The sequence below is a fragment of the Homo sapiens genome, chromosome 3 (assembly GCF_000001405.40).
Source record: "Homo sapiens chromosome 3, GRCh38.p14 Primary Assembly".
NCBI classification, from domain to species: Eukaryota; Metazoa; Chordata; class Mammalia; order Primates; family Hominidae; genus Homo; species Homo sapiens.
The window spans coordinates 26,307,546-26,329,445 of NC_000003.12; the positions used below are offsets into that span (position 1 = coordinate 26,307,546).

Below are 21,900 nucleotides of genomic sequence, written 5' to 3' on the forward strand. Positions count from 1 at the left end.
ATCTTCAGTCTGCCAGTCAGAGGGCATATACAGTAGTAGTCACAGAAGTGAAAATTCAGTTTCCAAAGGGAGATTTCATCTTCCATACACAATTGTATTTCCTTTAAGCTACATTTGGCATGATTCATTTACATTTTTGAGCTGAGATTTTAGTTAAAACATGGCTAAATCCAGCCATAATGCTAATAGTCTTCCATTCACTGAAATAAGGTTGCAAATAGGTGGGAAGAGGTTGAAGTGAAGGTTTTCACAATTGGAAATTAAATCTTGTCCTCCAGATGAAGGGGGCTTTTGTGCAGTGTAGACTGGAAGAAGTTTTTTCTATTATGCTTCACATTTCTAAAGCCAACATTTGAGCAACAGCTTTTCTTTCCCTCTTGAACATTTTGGAAATAAGGAGCCTTTATTTCCATGACGGTTGCCAGGCTCATTTCCCCAGTACTGCCTGATCGTGTGCCTTTCATCGAGTTTCTGTGGGCTGTGTTGGCCTTTGGCAGAATGCTGCTGAATTATCAGGATGTAGCTCAGTGATTTGTCCTCAACTCCATGGAGAGACAAGAAACTTTCCTTGGCTAAATACAAACAGAAAATTAAAAAGGGAAAGTTATTTTATTTCAGGGAACATTTTTTGTTGCTATGGATTTGACAAGACATGGATCCTTCATTTAATTTCATTTTTGTTTGTCCCATTCAGCATTTCTCTTCCATTTATGAACAGTTTTGGAAACTCTAGCAGCAAATGGGCTTGTCCCCAACACTTGGCTTGATATTCTGCATATGACAAATGTATCTTTTCCTATGGAATGCATTCTCTCAACAACCTGACAACTTCAGTTAGTCCACCTTTGCTTTGACCTGAAATAGCTAAACAATTGAGTCAATATAGTTGGATTCTGAATTCTCCAGAAAATGCCTCATTCAGCCCATTCACTTCCTTTTTTCTTTTGCAGGTTATGTAACTGAGTACCTCCACTTTTCTAACAGGTGGTTTAGTTATTTTTTCCCCTCCCTTCTTTTCTCATTTCCCTGGTTCCACACTTCCTACTTAGCCCTTTAGAAATGCAAATATAACCTTTACCTCCTCCTCACCAGACATCCCCTACTGGGCAAGTTCATCTACGTGCTTCAAGAGAGATCTCTTAACAGTAGATTTGCAGACGAAAGCATGCCCTGATGGAACTTTCACCTCCAGGGGTTCGCCTCAGGAGTGCATATTGAAAGCATGCCCACTTGGCCACTTTTACAACATACTTCTGCCCAGGATGGCACCAACTCAACTGCCTGTTTGATAAGGCAAGAGCTAGCAGCTGCCCTTGTTCATTTCCTCCTCTACCTTATAAAAGTGCCCACTTTCTGCTCCAAAAGTGAAGCAGCGTGGCAGGACATCTGTGCATCTTCCCAAAGCTAGCTTTGGAATAAATTCACTTGCTTTGTGTCAGACCTCTCTCTTATTAATTGGACTCTGCATGTGGCAAGCAACTAACCCACATTTCAGTTACGGTTACACTATACAATGCTTCCTACAGTGGTATTGTTATGGTAGGTAGTTAGACATGAGTGGGGCAAGAGAGTCCCCCACCACCCCATGCAGGAATTTCAGATGACCATCAGGTGATGGTCAGGCAGTTGTTAAGCTCTCTCTCTAAAATAATAATTGGTCACAGCTAGTGCCAGGGAAAGGTAGTCTCCCAATAGATAGAAACACCTGAAACTGGTGATCAGCAGCTTCCTGATAAGATCTCAGGACCTGCATAAGTGGGCTCAAGTATGCACATGAAGAGGCAAAATGTCAGAGTTTAACTGGTATATGATCTAGGAACACTTGACTGGTAAGGGGAAAATGCCTCAAGTGAGCATGTGCACAACTCCACTGAACACAGTGTGCATGCTCCTCTCCCAGTTGCTAGCAGGCCACTGTGCATGAGGACAGCCTACCCCAAAAGAAGAATCAGGGTGTAGGATATAATAAATTCCTCTTCAAAGGTTTTAGCCTGTAAATAGATAAGTACAATGATTTCTGAGATCCTCTCCAAAGAACCAATGTATCAGTATATTCAGCTTCCCTGTTCTTTGTTCTTCATTTTAAAGTTTAACTTCCTCGTTCTCTTCATCTCCTTGCCCTGGTTTCAGTAAACAACCCCCTCCTAGCCTCTATCACCTGCTTTGTCCTGAGTCACCCCTGGTCACCTGCTCTGACCTGAATCATCCTGAGTCACCTGTTCTGTAACTGTCCTTCCCACCAAACTACTCACCCTGCCACTCTGACTCATACCCTTGCTCTCTTTAAAATAGCCAATCAGAATTAGCTTAGACTGTGTGGTCCAACCCTAGCCAATAGGTGAATGACACAGCAGTAGGGGCTACCTGCATCAGGAATAAAAACCCCTTCCCCTCCCTTGTTCAGGTGTGCTCTCAGCATTGCTCCATCCACGAGTCACACCCTTCTATAGAAGTAAAATCGCCTTGCTGAGAAAATTAAATTTATGTTTGAGTGCTATTCCTTTTGTGGCACTGAGAATTTATTTTTAACAAGAGGAGAAGGAACACAAGACCCCAGAAGTATGCCAACATATAAAACCCCAAGTCAAAGGTCAAACCAGACACTTAAGTCCTCAAATCACCTGCCTGGACCACTTCCAAGCATACTTTCCTTCCTTTCGTTTCTGTTCTAAAGCTTTCTAATAAGCTCACTCCTGCTCTAAAATTTGCCTTGGTCTCTTACTCTGCCTTATGCCTCTCAAATTCTTTCTATTGAAGAGGAGAGATTTGAGGTTGCTGCAGACCCATAACAATTCACTGCTGCTAAAATACTTTGCTTCATGACTCAGAGACGTTCACTAGTGCTAATAGTATGGGCTTTTATCATAAACATTTTGGGATAAATTAATGCCTATTAGCTGTCTTTAAATATTGGAAAAATTAATCATCATAGCGATCACATAATAATAAATTTGGCATCTTACATTTGTCGGATGCTTTATTCTGGAACAAGTGCTCTGCTACATATTACCACATTTTTGATCTCACAGCAGCCCTAATATAAGTTCATTTGAGTGCCAGCCTCTGTCTAACCACCTTTTCAACTCTGACTGTGGAAACCACAACAAGTAATAGTAATGTGGATCTTCACTTTAGGTATTCTACACAGGGAAGAGAATGAACTTTGTGCTGACATCATCTGCCAGCTTCCCAGAAGCCCTCCCTAAATGTCTATCTGTCTCACCAAATTTTTACCCCACAGCAGGTACTGATACCCAAGTCTCTTTACTTATATATCCCACTCCTCTCCCGCAGTCCCACAGTCTCTCAGGACTATGCCATTTCTAGTTTTTAGTTCTCCCTTCCTTAGTGCCATTTTTATCCTTCCTTCACCTGCATACCAGTTCCTGGGAGTACAGTTTGCCTCAAGGTAAGCATCCTTCCCTCAACCCAGAATTCTGGTGTAAAAAATTATGTACTTTGTTTCACATGTATGAGTAAATGGAGGCAAAATAACTTAAGTAATTGCCTAAGATCACCCAGCTAGTAAACTGCAAATCTGAATTTGAACTAGAATCTGACTAATTACTCTATTCTGTACTTCAAACCCGTTTTCCTTGTAGTCCTATCATTTGTATATTACCTTGTTTATGTCAAGGCTTAATGTCAGGTTTTATGTTTCCCATCATCACTCTTTGGGCAGAGTGATTACTTGGAGTCAGAGCTGAGATGTCCCAAGTGTGCTCAAAGGAGTTTTAAATGGGTTAGAAAAACATAACTGGATTGTTTATTTAAAAAGGAAACAAAACAACCCTTAGGTTATAAAGTTGGAGACAGCATAATTAAACAGGCATCCCAAGATGCAGTCTTTTAAAAGACTTCCTAGACTGGAAGTTCTCTTCTTCATTCACCCACACCACCATTACTACTCTGACAGATCTTCCCTTAGGGAAATCAATACAGTCACTCAACATCTTAACATGTACAGCTGTCACTGGCCCCAGGCCATAGCTTTTGTTTTGCCTTTACCAAGTGAATGATAGTGAATGAATGAAATTGTATGGTTTTTTCTTTTTAATACAATGAACCTCTACTTGACAGACTCCTACGTTTTCCTATATAGGCCTCTGTCTGGTCTGATGGGGTTTTGTGTTCTTTTTCCCTTAGCTTGTTCTTTTCAGAAAAAGCTAGGGTTTCACATCTCACCCCTCTAGTTAGTGGTTCTCCAGCCTGACTTTACGTTGATACCACCCTGGGAACTTCTATAAAATACTGATGCCCAGACCCTAACACTGATCAATTAAATCAGAATCTTGGGGGTGGAGAGGAGTCTATTATGCAACTTCTGGCTTATGTGACCATTATATTCAACTCAGTTCCTAAGTTCCCACTGAGATATGATTACGGGACAGGTAGTTCAGGAGACTACAGAAGAGGTTATACTTTACAATTTCAGCATGGAATTTAGCAACAGTTTGTGATATTCTTGCTTATAATGGAGAGTACATTAATCAGATCTGACATAGTGATATTGAGTGACAAACCACTCCCAAACTTAGCAGCTTACATCAAGAAACATTTATTTCTTGCTCATGGGTCTATAGGCTACAGGTTTGGCTGGTTTAAGCTGAACTCTGCTGTGTGTTTTTCATCAGGCTTCAGATAAGTTGTACTTTACTCCAGGTGGAAATGTGGTTCAAGTCTCTTTCACATGTGTCTCGTCTTCCTTGGACCATCCATTGAGTGCCCAAGGCATCTACTTTTCATGTCAGATCACTATCATGCAAAATCCAAACTCAATTGTTCTTAAAGATCTCTCCTTGTTTCATGTCCATTAATGTGTCTTTAGACAAAGTAATTCATGACCCAGCCCAACATTAATGGGATGGAGACATATACTTTGGCCGCAGTAAGAGAAGAAAGAAGATAAATATTTTCTTAACAAAGTCCACACTCTCATAATGATATGGGTAAGAGACAGAGAAATACTGGGTAGGAGAGGGTTGTTCCCTGGCAAAGACCCCACCCTCAAGCCTGGATACATGTGATCCTAAGTGGGAATAGGCATTCCTGTTTTTGTGCCAAAAAAGTTGCCTTCTGGTACAACATGCCCCCCTATTCTGTGCCCATATAAACCCCAGACTCCAGGCTCCAGAAGGAGATGAGAAGATGAACAGAAGAGCAGAAGAATGGCAGAATGGCATGGCAGAGAGAAGAAAAGGAGCATCTGAATGCCAAGAGGAGTTTGACTGGGTGTGGCCAGAGAGGAGTTCAGCTGCTGGATGATCAAACTCCAGGGGAAGATCATCTTCCCACTTCCTCCCTGTGCTAGTCCCCCATCGATCCCACTGAGAGCCACCTCTTCCACCCAAGAAAACCCCCACATTTACCACCCTTAAGTCTGTGTGTGAGTTGATTCTTCTGGGTTGCTGGATAAGAGCTCCACATACAGAAAGCTGTCACACTGGCCTTCTGCCATTGTGAAAAGGCAGAGGGTTCACTGAGCTGGTTAACACGTAAGCCGTCTGCAGATGGCAAAGCTAAAAGAGCGCACTGTAACACATGTCACACCCACTTAGGCTTTGGGAGTTGCAGGCACACACCTCTAGTTGCTACCATGGGGCCAGAGCCCCAGAGCACTCACCCTGGCTCCTGTGCCTGCCTGTCTGCGTGCTCCCCCAACTCTAAAATGTTTGAGTGTACGGCAGCCGAATGCATAGGCCCCCACCCCTGTCGCATGTTCTGCAAGTGGTTCAGGGAACTCTCCCGTTACGATAAGGAGAAATACAAACTTGTTGACAATCTTAGAACATAATTGACTAAAGAATGACTGAATTTTCAACTATTCTGTAAATCTAAAATTATTCCAAAATCAAGTTTATTAAAAAAGAAACAAAAAGTAAGCTACCATGTGATGAGGGAGACAGCTCTAGTCACTGGAAATGTTGAAACAGAGTATAGAAAATCTCTTGGTGGGAAGTATGTACAATGGACTGAAGCATGAGTCAATTATCCAGTGTATTTACTACATTTATATTGACATGTCACAGAGAGGAGGGGACAGAAAGTATTGTGTATGACAGATTCAATATTAAAAATTGTCATGATAGGTTGCAACCAACCAGGTAAAATATCAAAAGGATAAACATAATGCCACACATTTGGGTTTACAATCTCAATTGCTTTATATATATTAAATAAAAATGTATAGTACATAATTAATGAGTGTATGGTCTATATTTTATTAAATAATTGTTTAAATATAGCGTTCATTAGAATTTCTAAATATCCTTGAGCATCCCGTGGCAGAATTAGTATGCAAGGTATCTTTTGGCCTAAGTCTTTAGTTGGTCATAGAGAACTGCTGGCTGGGGTTAAGACTACTAACAGTAACAGAAGCAGCAGCTAATATTTGTGGAGTGTTTACTAAGAGTCAGTTGTAGCTAAGTGCTTTACATAGATTAGTTCATCCTCAAAAATCCCAGTGAGGTAGAACTAATGCCTTTTCCATTTTACAGGGGACAAAACTGAGGCTTAGTGAGTTAAAGTAACTTTCCTGAGGTCCCACAATTCATGATTGGTATTGCTGAAAGTTCAACTCAGGGTATCTGATCTTATAACCTGTTGGACGTAACCATTACAGTCTATTGCCTGTGCATTTGAACTGGCATGACATTTAAATACTAGTACTTTCCCCAGGAGCCTGTTCTGTGTATTAAGGGACTGCCCCTCGACAACTTGCTATTATGACACATTTTTAGGGTTATCCTGAAATGCTGCTATGTCTATTTTAGATAGATCTTCTCTCTGGGACTGCTCCATAAGTTTCTTACCAGCAAAATATGCTCTAAAAGCTGCCATACATCAGAACTCCTCCCACAAATCTAAGTGACCACCCTCGCCACCACGAGAATCTATTTGAGACACAATCTCATTGTTGCAACTGCCTCCCACTTTGCTATCGATTATTTCCAACTTGCTGGAGGGAGCTAACGGCCAAATTAAAGGCTGGTATTTCCCAATCAGTCATCATTAGAGCTGCATTTATTATAGATAAAGTGACTTTCAGAGCCAGAATGACAACTTTAACAATGAAAAGAAAACATAAGAGCTCATTTTGTAATATGAACATAGCTCTCTTCAGTGAACAGCTAGATTTAGCCTAAAAATGCACTTGCAAATATCCTTTTTGTCTCATGCACAGTTTTTTCATATACAAGCACATCCAAGAAAATGTAAGTTCCAGCACTGCTCTTAAAAGGGGTGTGGAGCCCCGCAGATTTCTGTGTGTGTGTGTGTGTGTGTGTGTATGTTTGTTTGTTTTTTGAACTCAAGGAAGAACTTTAAGTCACCAGTGTGATTCACCAAAGTTGAATGTGAAAAAGGAACAGGGGAAAATGAAAGAACTAACTTGATAGTAAACCTGAAAACAATTACAATTCATACTTTCACTGAAAGTGATTGGACAGAGGGACAATAAGGTTACAGAAAAAGCCAGAAAATAGGATAATTTGTCAAAATGGGTGTAAGAATCAGCACACAAGACTTGGAAGAGAATTTGTTGTGAAAAGCAAGATGTCCCTAAGCAAGTATTGTCCTATTGAAGGGTCCTGAAATAAGGAAAAGAGAACAGAACACATTTTTTTTTCATTATACTTTAAGTTCTAGGGTACATGTGCACAACGTGCAGGTTTGTTACATATGTATACGTGTGCTATGTTGGTGTGCTGCACCCATTAACTCATCATTCACATTAGGTATATCTCCTAATGCTATCCCTCCCCCCTCCCCCCACCCCCCAACAGGCCCCAGTGTGTGATGTTCCCCACCCTGTGTCCATGTGTTCTCATTGTTCAGTTCCCACCTATGAATGAGAACATGTGGTGTTTGGTTTTCTGTCCTTGCAATAGTTTGCTCAGAATGATGGTTTCCAGCTTCATCCATATCCCTACAAAGGACATGAACTCATCCTTTTTTATGGCTGCATAGTATTCCATATTGTATATGTGCCACATTTTCTTAACCAATCTATCATTGATGGACATTTGTGTTGGTTTCAAGTCTTTGCTATTGTGAATAGTGCCACAATAAACATACGTGTGCATGTGTCTTTATAGCAGCATGATTTATAATCCTTTGGGTATATAAAGCAATGGCAACAAAAGCCAAAATTGACAAATGGGATCTAATTAAACTAAAGAGCTTATGCATAGCAAAAGAAACTACCATCTGAGTGAACACGCAACCTATAGAATGGGAGAAAATTTTTACAATCTACCCATCTGATAAAGGGCTAATACCCAGACTCTACAAAGAACTTAAACAAATTTGCAAGAAAAAACCAAACAACCCCATCAAAAAGTGGGTGAAGGATATGAACAGACACTTCTCAAAAGAAGACATTTATGCAGCCAACAGACACATGAATAAAATGCTCATCATCACTGGCCATCAGAGAAATGCAAATCAAAACCACAATGAGATACCATCTCACACCAGTTAGAATGGCGATCATTAAAAAGTCAGGAAACAACAGGTGCTGGAGAGGATATGGAGAAACAGGAACATTTTTACACTGTTGGTGGGACTGTAAAAATGTTCAACCATTGTGGAAGACAGTGTGGCAATTCCTCAAGTATCTAGAACTAGAAATACCATTTAACACAACACATTTTTATAGAATCAAATGAACATACTCACTGGGAGTCATGAAGTAATGTGCTATATTCTCACAAGTTTTTTTTTTAATAAGAAAACTATCAGCAATTACTCAATTTTCAAGAGTTATCTTTCAGGCCTAATGGGAAACAGGCTATTCTAAGATTGTTTGATTAATATATTTTCTGAAATAAGATAGATAAAATGCCTTAAAGAAAGAGAAAGAAAACCCATGGTTTCCTGGAAGGTGATCTTTTAGGTCTTGTTGAATTTACCTTCTACTTCCTGTCCCCCTTGCCAACTTGTTGGGTCTGTCAACTGGAGAATGACAAGGTTCATAAATTTGGAAAGGAGAGATTTATTTCTCTTAAAGGTTTGGAGCCTGTAGGGTGGCCATTCTGAAAGGCTGGGAAACATAGCCTCCAGCAAGAAGCCAAAAACAGAGACTGGAGGGGCAATGAGAGCAGGAATTTATGCTGAGTGAGGTAGCTGAATATGCATTTTCAATAAGCTATAGGAAGAGCCATGAATATTTATGAAAGGAGAAAGTGTGCATATGCAATTAAGCTTCCTGCCCCTTCATGGATCCAATATTAAAAATAAATAGCAGTGTTAGCAGGATCCAAGGGTGGAGTTTTCAGCCTTCTGATTTCAAAATGTGAAGCAGAGGACAAGAAAATGTGTACTGTGCATCCTCTGTAGAATGGCCAGAACCATTCTATGGTTGACCGTCTCTTTTATTTTATTTTTATTGTTATACTTTAAGTCCTGGGGTACATGTACAGGATGTGTAGGTTTGGTATATAGGTATGCACGTGCCATGGTGGTTGGCTGCACCCATCAACCAATCATCTGCATTAGGTATTTCTCCTAATGCTATACCTTCCCTTGCCCCTCACTCCCTGAACAGGCCCCATGTGATCTTCCCCTCCCTGTGTCCGTGTATTCTCATTGTTCAGCTCCCACATATGAGTGAGAATATGCAGTGTTTGCTTTTCTGTTCTTGTGTTAGTTTGCTGAGAATGATGGTTTCCAGCTTCATTCATGTCCCTGAAAAGGACATGAACTCATCCTTTTTTATGGCTGCATAGTATTTCATGGTGTCTATGTGCCACATTTTCCTTATCCAGTCTATCATGGATGGGCATTTGAGTTGGTTCCAAGTCTTCGGTATTGTGAACAGTGCTGCAATAAACATATGTGTGTATGTGTCTTTATAGTAGCATGATTTTTAATCCTTTGGGTATATACCCATTAATGGGATTGCTGGGTCAAATTATATTTCAGGTTCTAGATCCTTGAGGAATAACCACGCTGTCTTCCACAATGGTTGAACTAATTTACACTCCTACCAACAGCGTAAAAGCGTTCCTATTTCTCCATATCCTCTCCAGCATTTGTTGTTTCCTGACTTCTTAATGATCGCCATTCTAACTGGTGTGAGATGATATCTCACTGTGGTTTTGATTTGCATTTCTCTAATGACCAGTGATGATAAGCTTTTTTTCATATGTTTGTTGGCTACATAAATGTCTTCTTTTGAGGAGTGTCTGTTCATATCCTTTGCCCACTTTTTGATGGGGTTGTTTGTTTTTTTCTTGTAGATTTGTTTAAGTTCTTTGTAGATTCTGGATATTAGCCCTTTGTCAGATGGATAGATTGTGAAAATTTTCTCCCATTCTGTAGGTTGCGTGTTCACTCTGATGATAGTTTCTTTTGCTGTGCAGAAGCTCTTTAGTTTAATTAGATCTCGTTTGTCAATTTTGGTTTTTGCTGCCATTGCTTTTGGTGTTTTAGACATGAAGTCCTTGCCCATACCTATGTCCTGAATGGTATTGCCTAGGCTTTCTGCTGGGGTTTTTATGGTTTTAGATCTGAATGTTTAAGTCTTTAATCCATCTTGAGTTCATTTTTGTATAAGGTGTAAGGAAGGGATGCAGTTTCAGCTTTCTGCTTTTGCCTAGCCAGTTTTCCCAACACCATTTATTAAATAGAGAATCATTTCCCTATTGCTTGTTTTTGTCAGGTTTGTCAAAGTTCAAATGGTTGTAGATGTGTGGTGTTATTTCTGAGGCCTGTGTCCTGTTCCATTGGTCCATGTTTCTGTTTTGGTACCAGTACCATGCTGTTTTGGTTACTGTAGCCTTGTAGTATACTTTGAAGTCAGGTCACATGATGCCTCCAGCTTTGTTTTATTTTTTATTTTTTTGCTTAGGATTGCCTTGGTTATGCGGGCTCTTTCTTGGTTCCATATGAAATTTAAAATAGTTTTTTGAATTCCATGAAGAAAGTCAATGGTAGCTTGATGGGGATAGCATTGAATCTATAAATTACTTTGGGCAGTATGGCCATGTTCATGATATTGATTCTTCCTATCCATGAGCATGGAATGCTTTTCCATTTGTTTGTGTCCTCTCTTATTTCCTGGAGGACTGGTGTGTCATTCCCATTGAAGAGGTCCTTCACATCCCTTGTAAGTTGGATTCCTAGGTATTTTATTCTCTTTGTAGCAATTGTGAATGGGAGTTCACTCATGATTTGGCTCTCTGTTTGTCTGTTATTTGTGTAGAGGAATGCTTGTGATTTTTGCTCACTGATTTTGTATCCTGAGACTTTGCTGAAGCCGCTTATCGGCTTAAGGAGATTTGGGCTGAGACGATGGGGTTTTCTAAATATACAATCATGTCATCTGCAAACAAAGACAATTTGATTTCCTCTTTTTCTATTTGAATGTCCTTTATTCCTTTCTCTTGTCTAATTGCCCTGGCCAGAACTTCCAATACTATGTTGAATAGGAGTGGTGAGAGAGGGCATCCTTGTCTTGTGTCAATTTTCAAAGGGAATGCTTCCAGTTTTTGCCCAGTCAGTATGAGATTGGCTGTGGGTTTGTCATAAATAGCTCTTATTATTTTGAGATATGTTCTATCAATACCTATTTTATTTAGAGCTTTTAGCATGAAGCGCTGTTGAGTTTTGTCAAAGGCCTTTTCTGCATTGATTTAGATAATCATGTGGTTTTTGTCATTGGTTCTATTTATGTGATGAATTATGTTTATTGATTTGCATATGTTGAACCAGCCTTACATCCCAGGGATGAAGCTGACTTGTTCGTGGTGGTTAAGCTTTTTGATGTGCTGCTGGATTAGGTTTGCCAGTAGTTTATTGAAGATTTTTGCACTGATGTTCATCAGGGATATTGGCCTTAAATTTTCTTTTTTTGTTGTGTCTCTGCCGGGTTTTGTTACCAGGATGATGCTGGCCTCATAAAAAGGGTTATGGAGGGTTCCCCCTTTTTCTATTGTTTGGAATAGTTTCAGAAGGAATGGTACCAGTTCCTCTTTTGACCTCTGGTAGAATTTGGCTGTGAATCCATCTGGTCCTGGACTTTTTTGGTTGGTAGGCTATTAATTACTGCCTCAATTTCAGAACTTGTTATTGGTCTATTCAGGGATTTGACTTCTTCCTGGCTTAGTCTTGTGAGGGTATATGTGTCCAGGAATTTATCCCTTCCTTCTAGATTTCCTAGTTTATTTGCCTAGAGATATTTATAGTATTCTCTGATGGTAGTTTGTATTTCTGTGGGATGAGTGGTGATATCCCTTTTATCATTTTTTATTGTGTGTATTTGATTCTCCTCTCTTTTCTTCTTTATTAGTCTTGCTAGTGCTCTATATATTTTGTTGATATTTTCGAAAAACCAGTTCCTGGATTTATTGATTTTCTGATGGGATTTTTGTTCTTTATCTCCTTCACTTCTGCTCTGATCTTAGTTATTTCTTGTTTTCTGCTAGCTTTTGAATTTGTTTGCTCTTGCTTCTCTAGATCTTTTAATTGTGATATTGGGTGTCAATTTTAGATCTTTCCTGCTTTCTCTTGTGGGCATTTACTGCTATAAATTTTCCTCTAAACACAGCTTTAAATGTGTCCTGGAGATTCTGGTACACTGTCTTTGTTCTCATTGGTTTCAAAGAACATCTTTATTTCTGCCTTCATTTCTTTATTTACCCAGTAGTCAATCTGGAGCAGGTTGTTCAGTTCCCATGTATCTGTGTGGTTTTGAGTGAGTTTCTTAATCCTGAGTTCTAATTTGATTGCACTGTGGTCTGAGAGACTGTTTGTTATGGTTTCTATTCTTTTGCATTTTCTGGGGAGTATTTTACTTCCAATTATTTGGTCAATTTTAGAATAAGTGCGACGTGGTGCTGAGAAGAATGTATATTCTGCTGATTTGGGGTGGAGAGTTCTGTAGATGTCTGTTAGGTCTGCTCGGTCCAGAGCTGAGTTCAGGTCTCGAATATCCTTGTTAATTTTCTGTCTTGTTGATCTGTCTAATATTGATGGTGGGGTGTTAAAATCTCCCACTATTACTGTGTGGGAGTCTAAGTCTCTCTGTAGGTCTCTAAGAACTTGCTTTATGAATCTAGGTGCTCCTGTATTGGGTGCATATATATTTAGGATAGTTAGCTTTTCTTGTTGCATTGATCCCTTTACCATTATGTGGTGCCCTTCTTTTTCTCTTTTGATCTTTGTCGGTTTAATTTCTCTTTTATCAGAGACTAGGATTGCAACCCCTGCTTTACTTTGCTTTCGATTTGCTTGATAAATATTCGTCCATCCCTTTATTTTGAGCCTATGTGTGTCTTTGCATGTGAGATGTGTCTCCTGAACACAGCACACCAACGGTTCTTGACTCTTTATCCAATTTGCCAGTCTGTGTCTTTTAATTGGGGCGTTTAGCCAGTTTACATTTAATGTTAGTATTGTTATATGTAAACCTGATCCTGTCATTATGATGCTAGCTGGTTATTTTGCCCATTAGTTGATGCAGTTTCTTTATAGTGTTGATGGTCTTTACAATTTGGTATGTTTTTGAAGTGGCTGATAACAGTTCCTTTCTTTTTTTATTATTATTATACTTTAAGTTTTAGGGTACATGTGCACATTGTGCAGGTTAGTTACATATGTATACATGTGCCATGCTGGTGCACTGCACCCACTAACTCGTCATCTAACATTAGGTATATCTCCCAATGCTATCCTTCCCCCCTCCCCCCACCCCACAACAGTCCCCAGAGTGTGATGTTCCCCTTCCTGTGTCCATGTGATCTCATTGTTCAATTCCCACCTATGAGTGAGAATATGCGGTGTTTGGTTTTTTGTTCTTGCAGTGGTTTACTGAGAATGATGATTTCCAATTTCATCCATGTCCCTACAAAGGACATGAACTCATCATTTCTTATGGCTGCATAGTATTCCATGGTGTATATGTGCCCTATTTTCTTAATCCAGTCTATCATTGTTGGACATTTGGGTTGGTTCCAAGTCTTTGCTATTGTGAATAATGCCACAATAAACATACGTGTGCATGTGTCTTTATAGCAGCATGATTTATAGTCCTTTGGGTATATACCCAGTAATGGGATGTTAGACCTAAAACCATAAAAACCCTAGAAGAAAACCTAGGCATTACCATTCAGGACATAGGCATGGGCAAGGACTTCATGTCTAAAACACCAAAAGCAATGGCAACAAAAACCAAAATTGACAAATGGGATCTAATTAAACTAAAGAGCTTCTGCACAGCAAAAGAAACTACCATCAGAGTGAACAGGCAACCTACAGAATGGGAGAAAATTTTCGCAACCTACTCATCTGACAAAGGGCTAATATCCAGAATCTACAATGAACTCAAATAAATTTACAAGAAAAAAACAACCCCATCAAAAAGTGGGCGAAGGACATGAACAGACACTTCTCAAAAGAAGACATTTATGCAGCCAACAGACACATGAAAAAATGCTCATCATCACTGGCCATCAGAGAAATGCAAATCAAAACCACAATGAGATATCATCTCACACCAGTTAGAATGGCAATCATTAAACAGTCAGGAAACAACAGGTGCTGGAGAGGATGTGGAGAAATAGGAACACTTTTATACTGTTGGTGGGACTGTAAACTAGTTCAACCATTGTGGAAGTCAGTGTGGCGATTCCTCACGGATCTAGATCAAGAAATACCATTTAACAGTTCCTTTCTATGTTTGGTGCTTCCTTCAGGAGCTCTTGTAAGGCAGGCCTGGTGGTGAAAAAATCTTTCGCATTTGCTTGTCTGTAAAGGATTTTACTTCTTTGCTTATGAAGTTTACTTTGGCTGGATATGAAATTCTGGGTTGATAATTCTTTTCTTTAAAAATGTTGAATATTGGCCACTGCTCTCTTCTGGCTTGTAGGGTTTCTGCAGAGAGATCCACTGTTAGTCTGATGGGCTTCCCTTTGTGGTTAACCCGACCTTTCTCTCTGGCTGCCCTTAACATTTTTTCCTTCATTTCCACCTTGGTGAATCTGATGATTATGTGTCTTCTGGTTGCTCTTCTAGAGGAGTATCTTTGTGGTGTTCTCTGTGTTTTCTGAGTTTGTATGTTGGCTTGTCTTGCTAGGTTGAGGAAGTTCTACTGGAAAATATCCTGAAGAGTGTTTTCCAACTCGGGTCTATTCTCCCCATCACTTTCAGGTACACCAATCAAACATAAATTTGTTTTTTTCATATACTCCCATATTTCTTGGAGGTTTTGTTTGTTCTTTTTCATTCTTTTTTTCTCTAATCTTATCTTCTTGCTTTATTTCATTAAGTTGACCTTCAATCTCTGATATCCTTTCTTGCACTTGATTGATTCGGCTATTGATACTTGTGTATGCTTCATGAAGTTCTCATGCTATGTTTTTCAGCTCCATCAAGTCATTTATATTCTTCTTTAAACTGGTTATTCTAGTTAGCAATGAGTCTAACCTTTTTTCAAGGTTCTTAGCTTCCTTACATTGAGTTAGAACATGCTCCTTTAGCTCAGAGGAGTTTGCTATTACCCACCTTCTGAAGCCTACTTCTGTCAATTCTTCAAAATCATTCTCTGTCCAGTTTTGTTCCCTTGCCAGTGAGGAGTTGTGATCCTTTGGAGGAGAAGAGGTGTTCTGGCTTTTGGAATTTTCAGCCTTTTTGCGCTGGTTTCTCCCCATCTTCATGGATTCTTCTACCTTTGGTCTTGGATGTTTGTGACCTTCGTATTGGGTCTCTGAGTGGATGTCCTTTTTGTTGATGTTGATGCTATTCCTTTTTGTTTGTTAGTTTTTCTTCTAACAGTCAGGCCACTCTGCTGCAGGTCTGCTGGAGTTTGTTGGAGCTCCACTCCATAACCTGTTTGCCTGTGTATCACTAGTGGAGGCTGCAAAACAGCAAAGATTGCTGCCTGTTTCTTCCTCCGGAAGCTTCATCTCAGAGGGGCACCCACCAGATGCCAGCTAATACTCTCCTGTATGAAGTGTCTGTTGACCCCTGCGGGGAGGTATCTCCCAGTCAGGAGACACGGGGGTCAGGGACCCACTTGAGGAGGCTGTCTGACCCTTAGCAGAGCTTGAATGCTGTGCTGGGAGATCTGCTGCTCTCTTCAGAGCCATCAGGCAGGGACTTTTAAGTCTGCTGAAGCTGTGTCCATAGCCATCCCTTACCCCAGGTGCTCTGTCCCAGGGAGATGGGAGTTTTATCTATAAGTCCCTGACTGGGGCTGCTGCCTTTTTTTCAGAGATGCCCTGCTCAGAGAGCAGGAATCTAGAGAGGCAGTCTGGCCACAGCAGCCTTGCTGAGCTGTGGTGGGCTCTGCCCAGTTTGAACTTCCCAGTGGCTTTGTTTACACTGTAAGGGTAAAACCGCCTACTCAAGCCTCAGCAAGGGTGGACACCCCTCCCCCCACCAAGCTTGAGCGAGCATCCCAAGTCGACCTCAGACTGCTGTGCTGGCAGCGAGAATTTCAAGCCAGTACATCTTAGCTTGCTGGGCTCCGTGGAGGTGGGACCCACTAAGCCAGACCACTTGGCTCCCTGGCTTCAGCCCCCTTTCCAGGGGAGTGAACAGTTCTATCTCACTGGCATTCCAGGTGCCACCGGGGTATGAAGAGAAAAACTCCTGCAGCTAGTTGGGTGTCTGTCCAAACGGCACCCAGTTTTGTGTTGAAACCCAGAGCCCTGGTGGCATAGGCACTGGAGGGAATCTCCTGGTCTGCAGGTTGTGAAGACTGTGGGAAAAGCCCAGTATCTGGGCTGGAGTGCTCCGTTCATCACGGCATAGTCCCCTACAGTTTGCCTTCGTTAGGGAAGGGAAATCCCCTGACCCCTTATGCTTCTCAGGTGAGGTGACCCCTCACCCTGCTTTGGCTCACACTCCGTGGCCTGCACCCACTGTCCAACCAGTTCCAATGAGATGAACCAGGTACCTCAGCTGGAAATCTAGAAATCACCCACCTTCTGTGTTGATCTCAGTGGAAGCTGCCGGCCAGACCTGTTCCTATTTGGCCATCTTGCCAGCCAACTCCCTGGTTGGTGGTCTCTTATCAGGAAGAAATGCTGGTTGGTAGAGAGGGGCAGCAGTCATGTGGTTGGTTGATATTAGTGGTACAAGGGTTGAGTTCTGTTTATCCCTTAGAGAAGAAAACGTAAGGGCAGTTAGAGAGCAAGGGGGTGTCATGAGAGGTGTCTGACCTCCCATCCCAGCATGGCCAATAACTCAGTTTTCAAAGTTACTCTGGGGTCCCCTTGGCCAAGAGGAGTTCTTTTCAGTGTGTTGGGGGCTTAGGATTTCATTTTTATTTCTCAGGCTTCACATCATTTGTTTTTGAATCAATTTCTTATTTAATTTAATTTGCCTTTCATACTTTTCATTCTCAAAGTTCTTTGGGATCTAGGATCTTAGAAAGGTCTCCAAGTTGGAGCTATCTGATGACTTTCTCCTCACTCTCAAAAATGTGTTTAGAATTCATCCCAATAGCCTTGCTGGAGATGAGCTCAGCAAGTGTAGCAATTTGCCCCTCTGTTGTCCTGCAAATATGGTTATCATTGAGTATGAAGTACACCTCAAATACAGGATTGGCTTCTAAGTTAATCAGAGAAGTTCTAGAAGTAGCAGAAGGGGGAACCTCCAGAAGCAAATGCAGACTCTGAGAGTGAGAATACTGTAAATTAGTTGCCTTATGACCTGGGCCTTCCTGCCAGTTATAAATAGTGGATTCTCCAGTTCTTTTAACCCCTGAAGCATCATCTACTGATAGAGAGAAATTCTGCCTGTACTTAAACCATCAATTAGAGTGGGGGCTAAATGTGATATGAGTAAAATAGCTTGCATCTTCTGGGAGGCAGATAATACTTACAGGTTGCGTATTTTAAAAAAATATATAACTGCTTCTTTTTATCACATTTGGACACTTCATATTGCCAGGCCATTTTATAAAAACCACATATAAATAGATAAAAAGGCAGATAGCTAACTGGATACATAGGTAAATTTTTAAATGGGTAAAGCCAAATTCCATAGGCAGTAGTTTTTAAAGATAAATAGGATAAGTTGGTACTCTTAACTCAGAACAAGGGAAATTTGGCTTTAGAAAAATGGTAAGTTTTGTTTTTCTCCAAGATGGAAGATGAGAAGCTTTTAGCATGCCTCAGCAACTTGAAAAGAACAAAATAATGTATAAAGACTAACTCTGAGAACTTTAGTTCAAGAAGGAAAATGGGAATTCACTGGAATAGTGAAGGACTATTCAGACCCTGGGAAGGAGAAGGTGAGTGAGTAGCCCCTGTGACAGGATTTAGCTGATAATTTTGAGTGAAGCCCATGAAAGGAACAGGCAGTTTCCTTCTATGACTCACCTTTTCACTATGGATGTGTGCAACCCAGGTCAAGGAAAAGCACCCTGTTTCTCCCAAGCCCTGGAGCTAACTTGGGGAGAAGCTGAGAGATGGAGAGAAGGAAAGACACCAGGAAAACCTGCAGATATGTTCTCAGACCTGGGGCTGAGGGAAGGCTGCCATTTTTAATCTGGGCTCATACAAAGTCAGACACTGACGACCGGGTAGTAGTGGCCACAACAGGCATTTTAGTCTCAGGCTAGAGATTGTAGTATTTGCTGTGGAGCAAGGGAAGGGACCCCATAACCAGAATTGAGCTTTGAGTGCCCCAGTAACAGGCGAAGGAATTAGGCTTTATCCTGTTACAGGGCTGGAAGTTCTCTCCCGCTCTAGAACTGTTATGACAGAAAGCTGCTTCAGCCAAGGTTTCCCCCGGGCACTGAAACTTGCAACCAGGAACAGTTTTGTGACCTGGAACCAGTCTGCCTGTGTCATTGATGGGCACCATAGCCTACTCCCTCAGTCACTTGGGGGACAGTGCCCCATCAGCTATAAAGAGCAGAAAGAAGGTGAATCCCAGACCCCTGGAGATCTAACTCTCAGCATAGTCTGCCCCTAGGGAAGAGGGAAATGCAGCCTACCAAAGCTCTGTCTGGGTCAAAGGAAACGTGAACATGGGACCAGCTGCCGAAGGTGGCACCACCAAACCCTGATGGGAATGGATGTGGAGAAGGGGTCATCTATTGTTCCCGATCCCTTCTCGAGGCACTGTTCTAGAGTTGGCAGTAGCTCTTCCCATCAGCCCTGGAGGGGGGCATGGGCTGAAAGAGACCACTTCTTGGCTTCTGCAGTGGTTTCACTCCCACTAAAGGTGAACTGTGTGCTGGCGGAGGGTGTTTTTCATGCTTCTCTGTTGCCTCCATGCCCACCCCTACCTTCCAGCTCTTGCTCTTAGGTGCCATTTACTGGAATGCAGCCTGAATTACACCACCAAATAAAAATGTATTGCCACAAGCAACGTCTGAAAAAGCCGCTGCACAAACTTATCTACAACCAAAGAACCTGTACAGAGCCCCGGCACCCTGAGAGCACACAGAAACAAAAATAACAGACCATACACAATATACACCACAATCATACTCCAAGGGAAAAAAAGAATGAAAAAGTCAAGAAGCTCCATCCAATAGTAAATTAAAAACAAAGCATCAGATTCCTCAGATGAGAAGGAACCCACATAAGAACTTTGGAAATACAAAAAAGCAGCGTGTTTCATCCCCTCCAAAGGACCTCACTATCTCTCAAGAAATGGATACTAATGAGAATGAAATATTGGAAATGATAGATACAGACTTCTGAATATGGATGGCAAAGAAAATGAGATCCAAGAGAAACTGAAAATGCAACACAAAGAAGTCAGAAAAGCAATCCAAGATTTGGAAAATGACATAGCTATATTTAAAAAGAACCTACCAGAACTCCTGGAATTGAAAAATTCACTACAGGAATTTGAAATATGATTGGAAACCTCAATAACAGATTATATCAAACAGAAAAAAGAATCTGAGAGCACAAAAATCAATCCTTTAAATCAGCCTACTCAGACAATTTACAGAAAAATGAATTAAAGAGAAAAAAGCCTTCAAGCTATATAGGATTATGTAAATTGGTCAAATCTATGACTTACTGACATTCCTAAGAGAAAAGAGAAAGTAAGCAACTTAGAAAATATATTTGATAATATAATTCAGAAAAATTTCCCCAAGCTTGCTAGACAGATGAATATACAGATACCAGAAATCCAGAGGAGTCCTGCAAGATATTATACAAGATGACCATCCTCAAGGCACATGGTCATCATACTATCCAATATCAACGTGAAAGAAAAAAATCTTAAAAGAAGCTAGAAAAAAAGGCTCATATTATCTATAAAGGGAAATCCATCAACCTAATTGTGGACTTCTCAGCAGAAACATGACAAGCCAGAAGAGATTTGGGGCCATTTTTAGCATTCCTAAAGAAAAGAATGCCAGCTAAGAATTCTATGTCCTGCCAAACTAAGCTTCATAAGTGAAGGAGAAAGAAAATCTTTCTCAGGCAAGCAGTCATTAAAGGAATTTTTCACCATCCCACCAGCCCTACAAGAGATGCTTAAGGGAGTTCTAAACATGGAAATTAAAGAATACTTGCTTCCACAAAAGCATATATATAAGTACGTAGCCCACAGATCTTACAAAAAGCAAGTACACCACAGCCCTCTACAGAATACTACATCCAAAAATCACAGAATATACATTCTTCTCATCTGCACATGGAACATACTTTAAGAATTACCATATGCTTGGTCATAAACCAAGGCTCAGTAAATTCAAAAACTTCAGAATCATACCAAGCATCTTCCCAGACCACAGTGGAATAAAAATAGAAATCAATAACAAGAAGAACTCACCAAACCACACAAACACATGGAAATTAAACAACTTGCTCCTGTGTGTTTTTGAGTAAGCAATGAAATTAAGGCAGAAATCAAAACATTCTTTGAAACATATAAAACTAGAGACATAACTTAACCAAACCTCTGGGATATATGGCAAAAGCGGTGTTAAGAGGAACGTTTACAGTACTAAACACCTACATCAAAAAAATAGAAAGATCTCAAATTAACAACCTAACTTCAATCTAAAAGAACTGTGAAAACAAGAACAAACTAAACCCATGGCTAGAAGAAGAAAAGAAATAACTAAAATCAAAGCAGAACTAAATGAAATTGAGACTCAAAAAGCCATGCAAAGAATCAATGAAATGAAAAGTTGGAAGTCAGACAATAACAAATGCTGGTGAGAATGTGGAGAAAAGGGAACCCTCACACACTGTTGGTGGGAATGTAAATTAGTAAAACTGCTATGGAGAACAACATGGAGGTTCCTCAAAAAACTAAAAATAGAGCTACCGTACACTCCAACAATCACAATGCTGGGTATATACCCAAAGGAAAGGAAAATAGTGTATTAAAGAGACATCTGCACTCTCATGTTTGTTGCAGCACTGTTCACAATAGCCAAGATTTGGAAGCAACCTAAGTGTCCATCAGCAGATGAATGGGTCAAGCAATGTGGCACTTATACTTAATGGAGTACTATTCAGACATAAAAAAAAATAAAATCATTGACAACAACAAGGATGAAACTGGAGGTCATTATGGTAAGTGAAATAAGCCAGGCACAAAAATACAAATATTGCTTGTTTTCACTTATTTGTAGTATCTAAAAATCAAAACAATTGAACTCATGGAGATAGATAATAGAAGGATGGTTACCAGAGGCTGGAAAGGACAGTGGGGATGGGGGAGAAACATGGGGAGGTAGAGCTGGTTAATGGATACCAAAATATAGTTAGAAAGAATGAATCAGACCTACTATTTAATAGCACAACAGGGTGACTTTAATCTGTAATAATTTAATTGTACATTTAAAAATAACTAAAAGTATATAATTGGATTAATTGTAATGCAAAGAAAGGATAGATGCTTGAGGGTATGAATGCCCAGTTTTCCATGATGTGATTATTACATATTGCATGCCTGTAGCAAAATATC

General features: G+C 40.4%; 1 annotated feature.

Moving 5' to 3' along the window:
* Positions 1,731-2,930: an enhancer, noted in NCBI's record as "P300/CBP strongly-dependent group 1 enhancer chr3:26350767-26351966 (GRCh37/hg19 assembly coordinates)". NCBI's record gives its function as "activates an origin of replication core promoter dependent on BRD2, BRD4, P300/CBP, MED14 and CDK7 cofactors, with strong dependence on P300/CBP, by STARR-seq in HCT116 cells {active_cell/tissue: HCT116}" and the evidence as "EXISTENCE:reporter gene assay evidence [ECO:0000049][PMID:35650434]".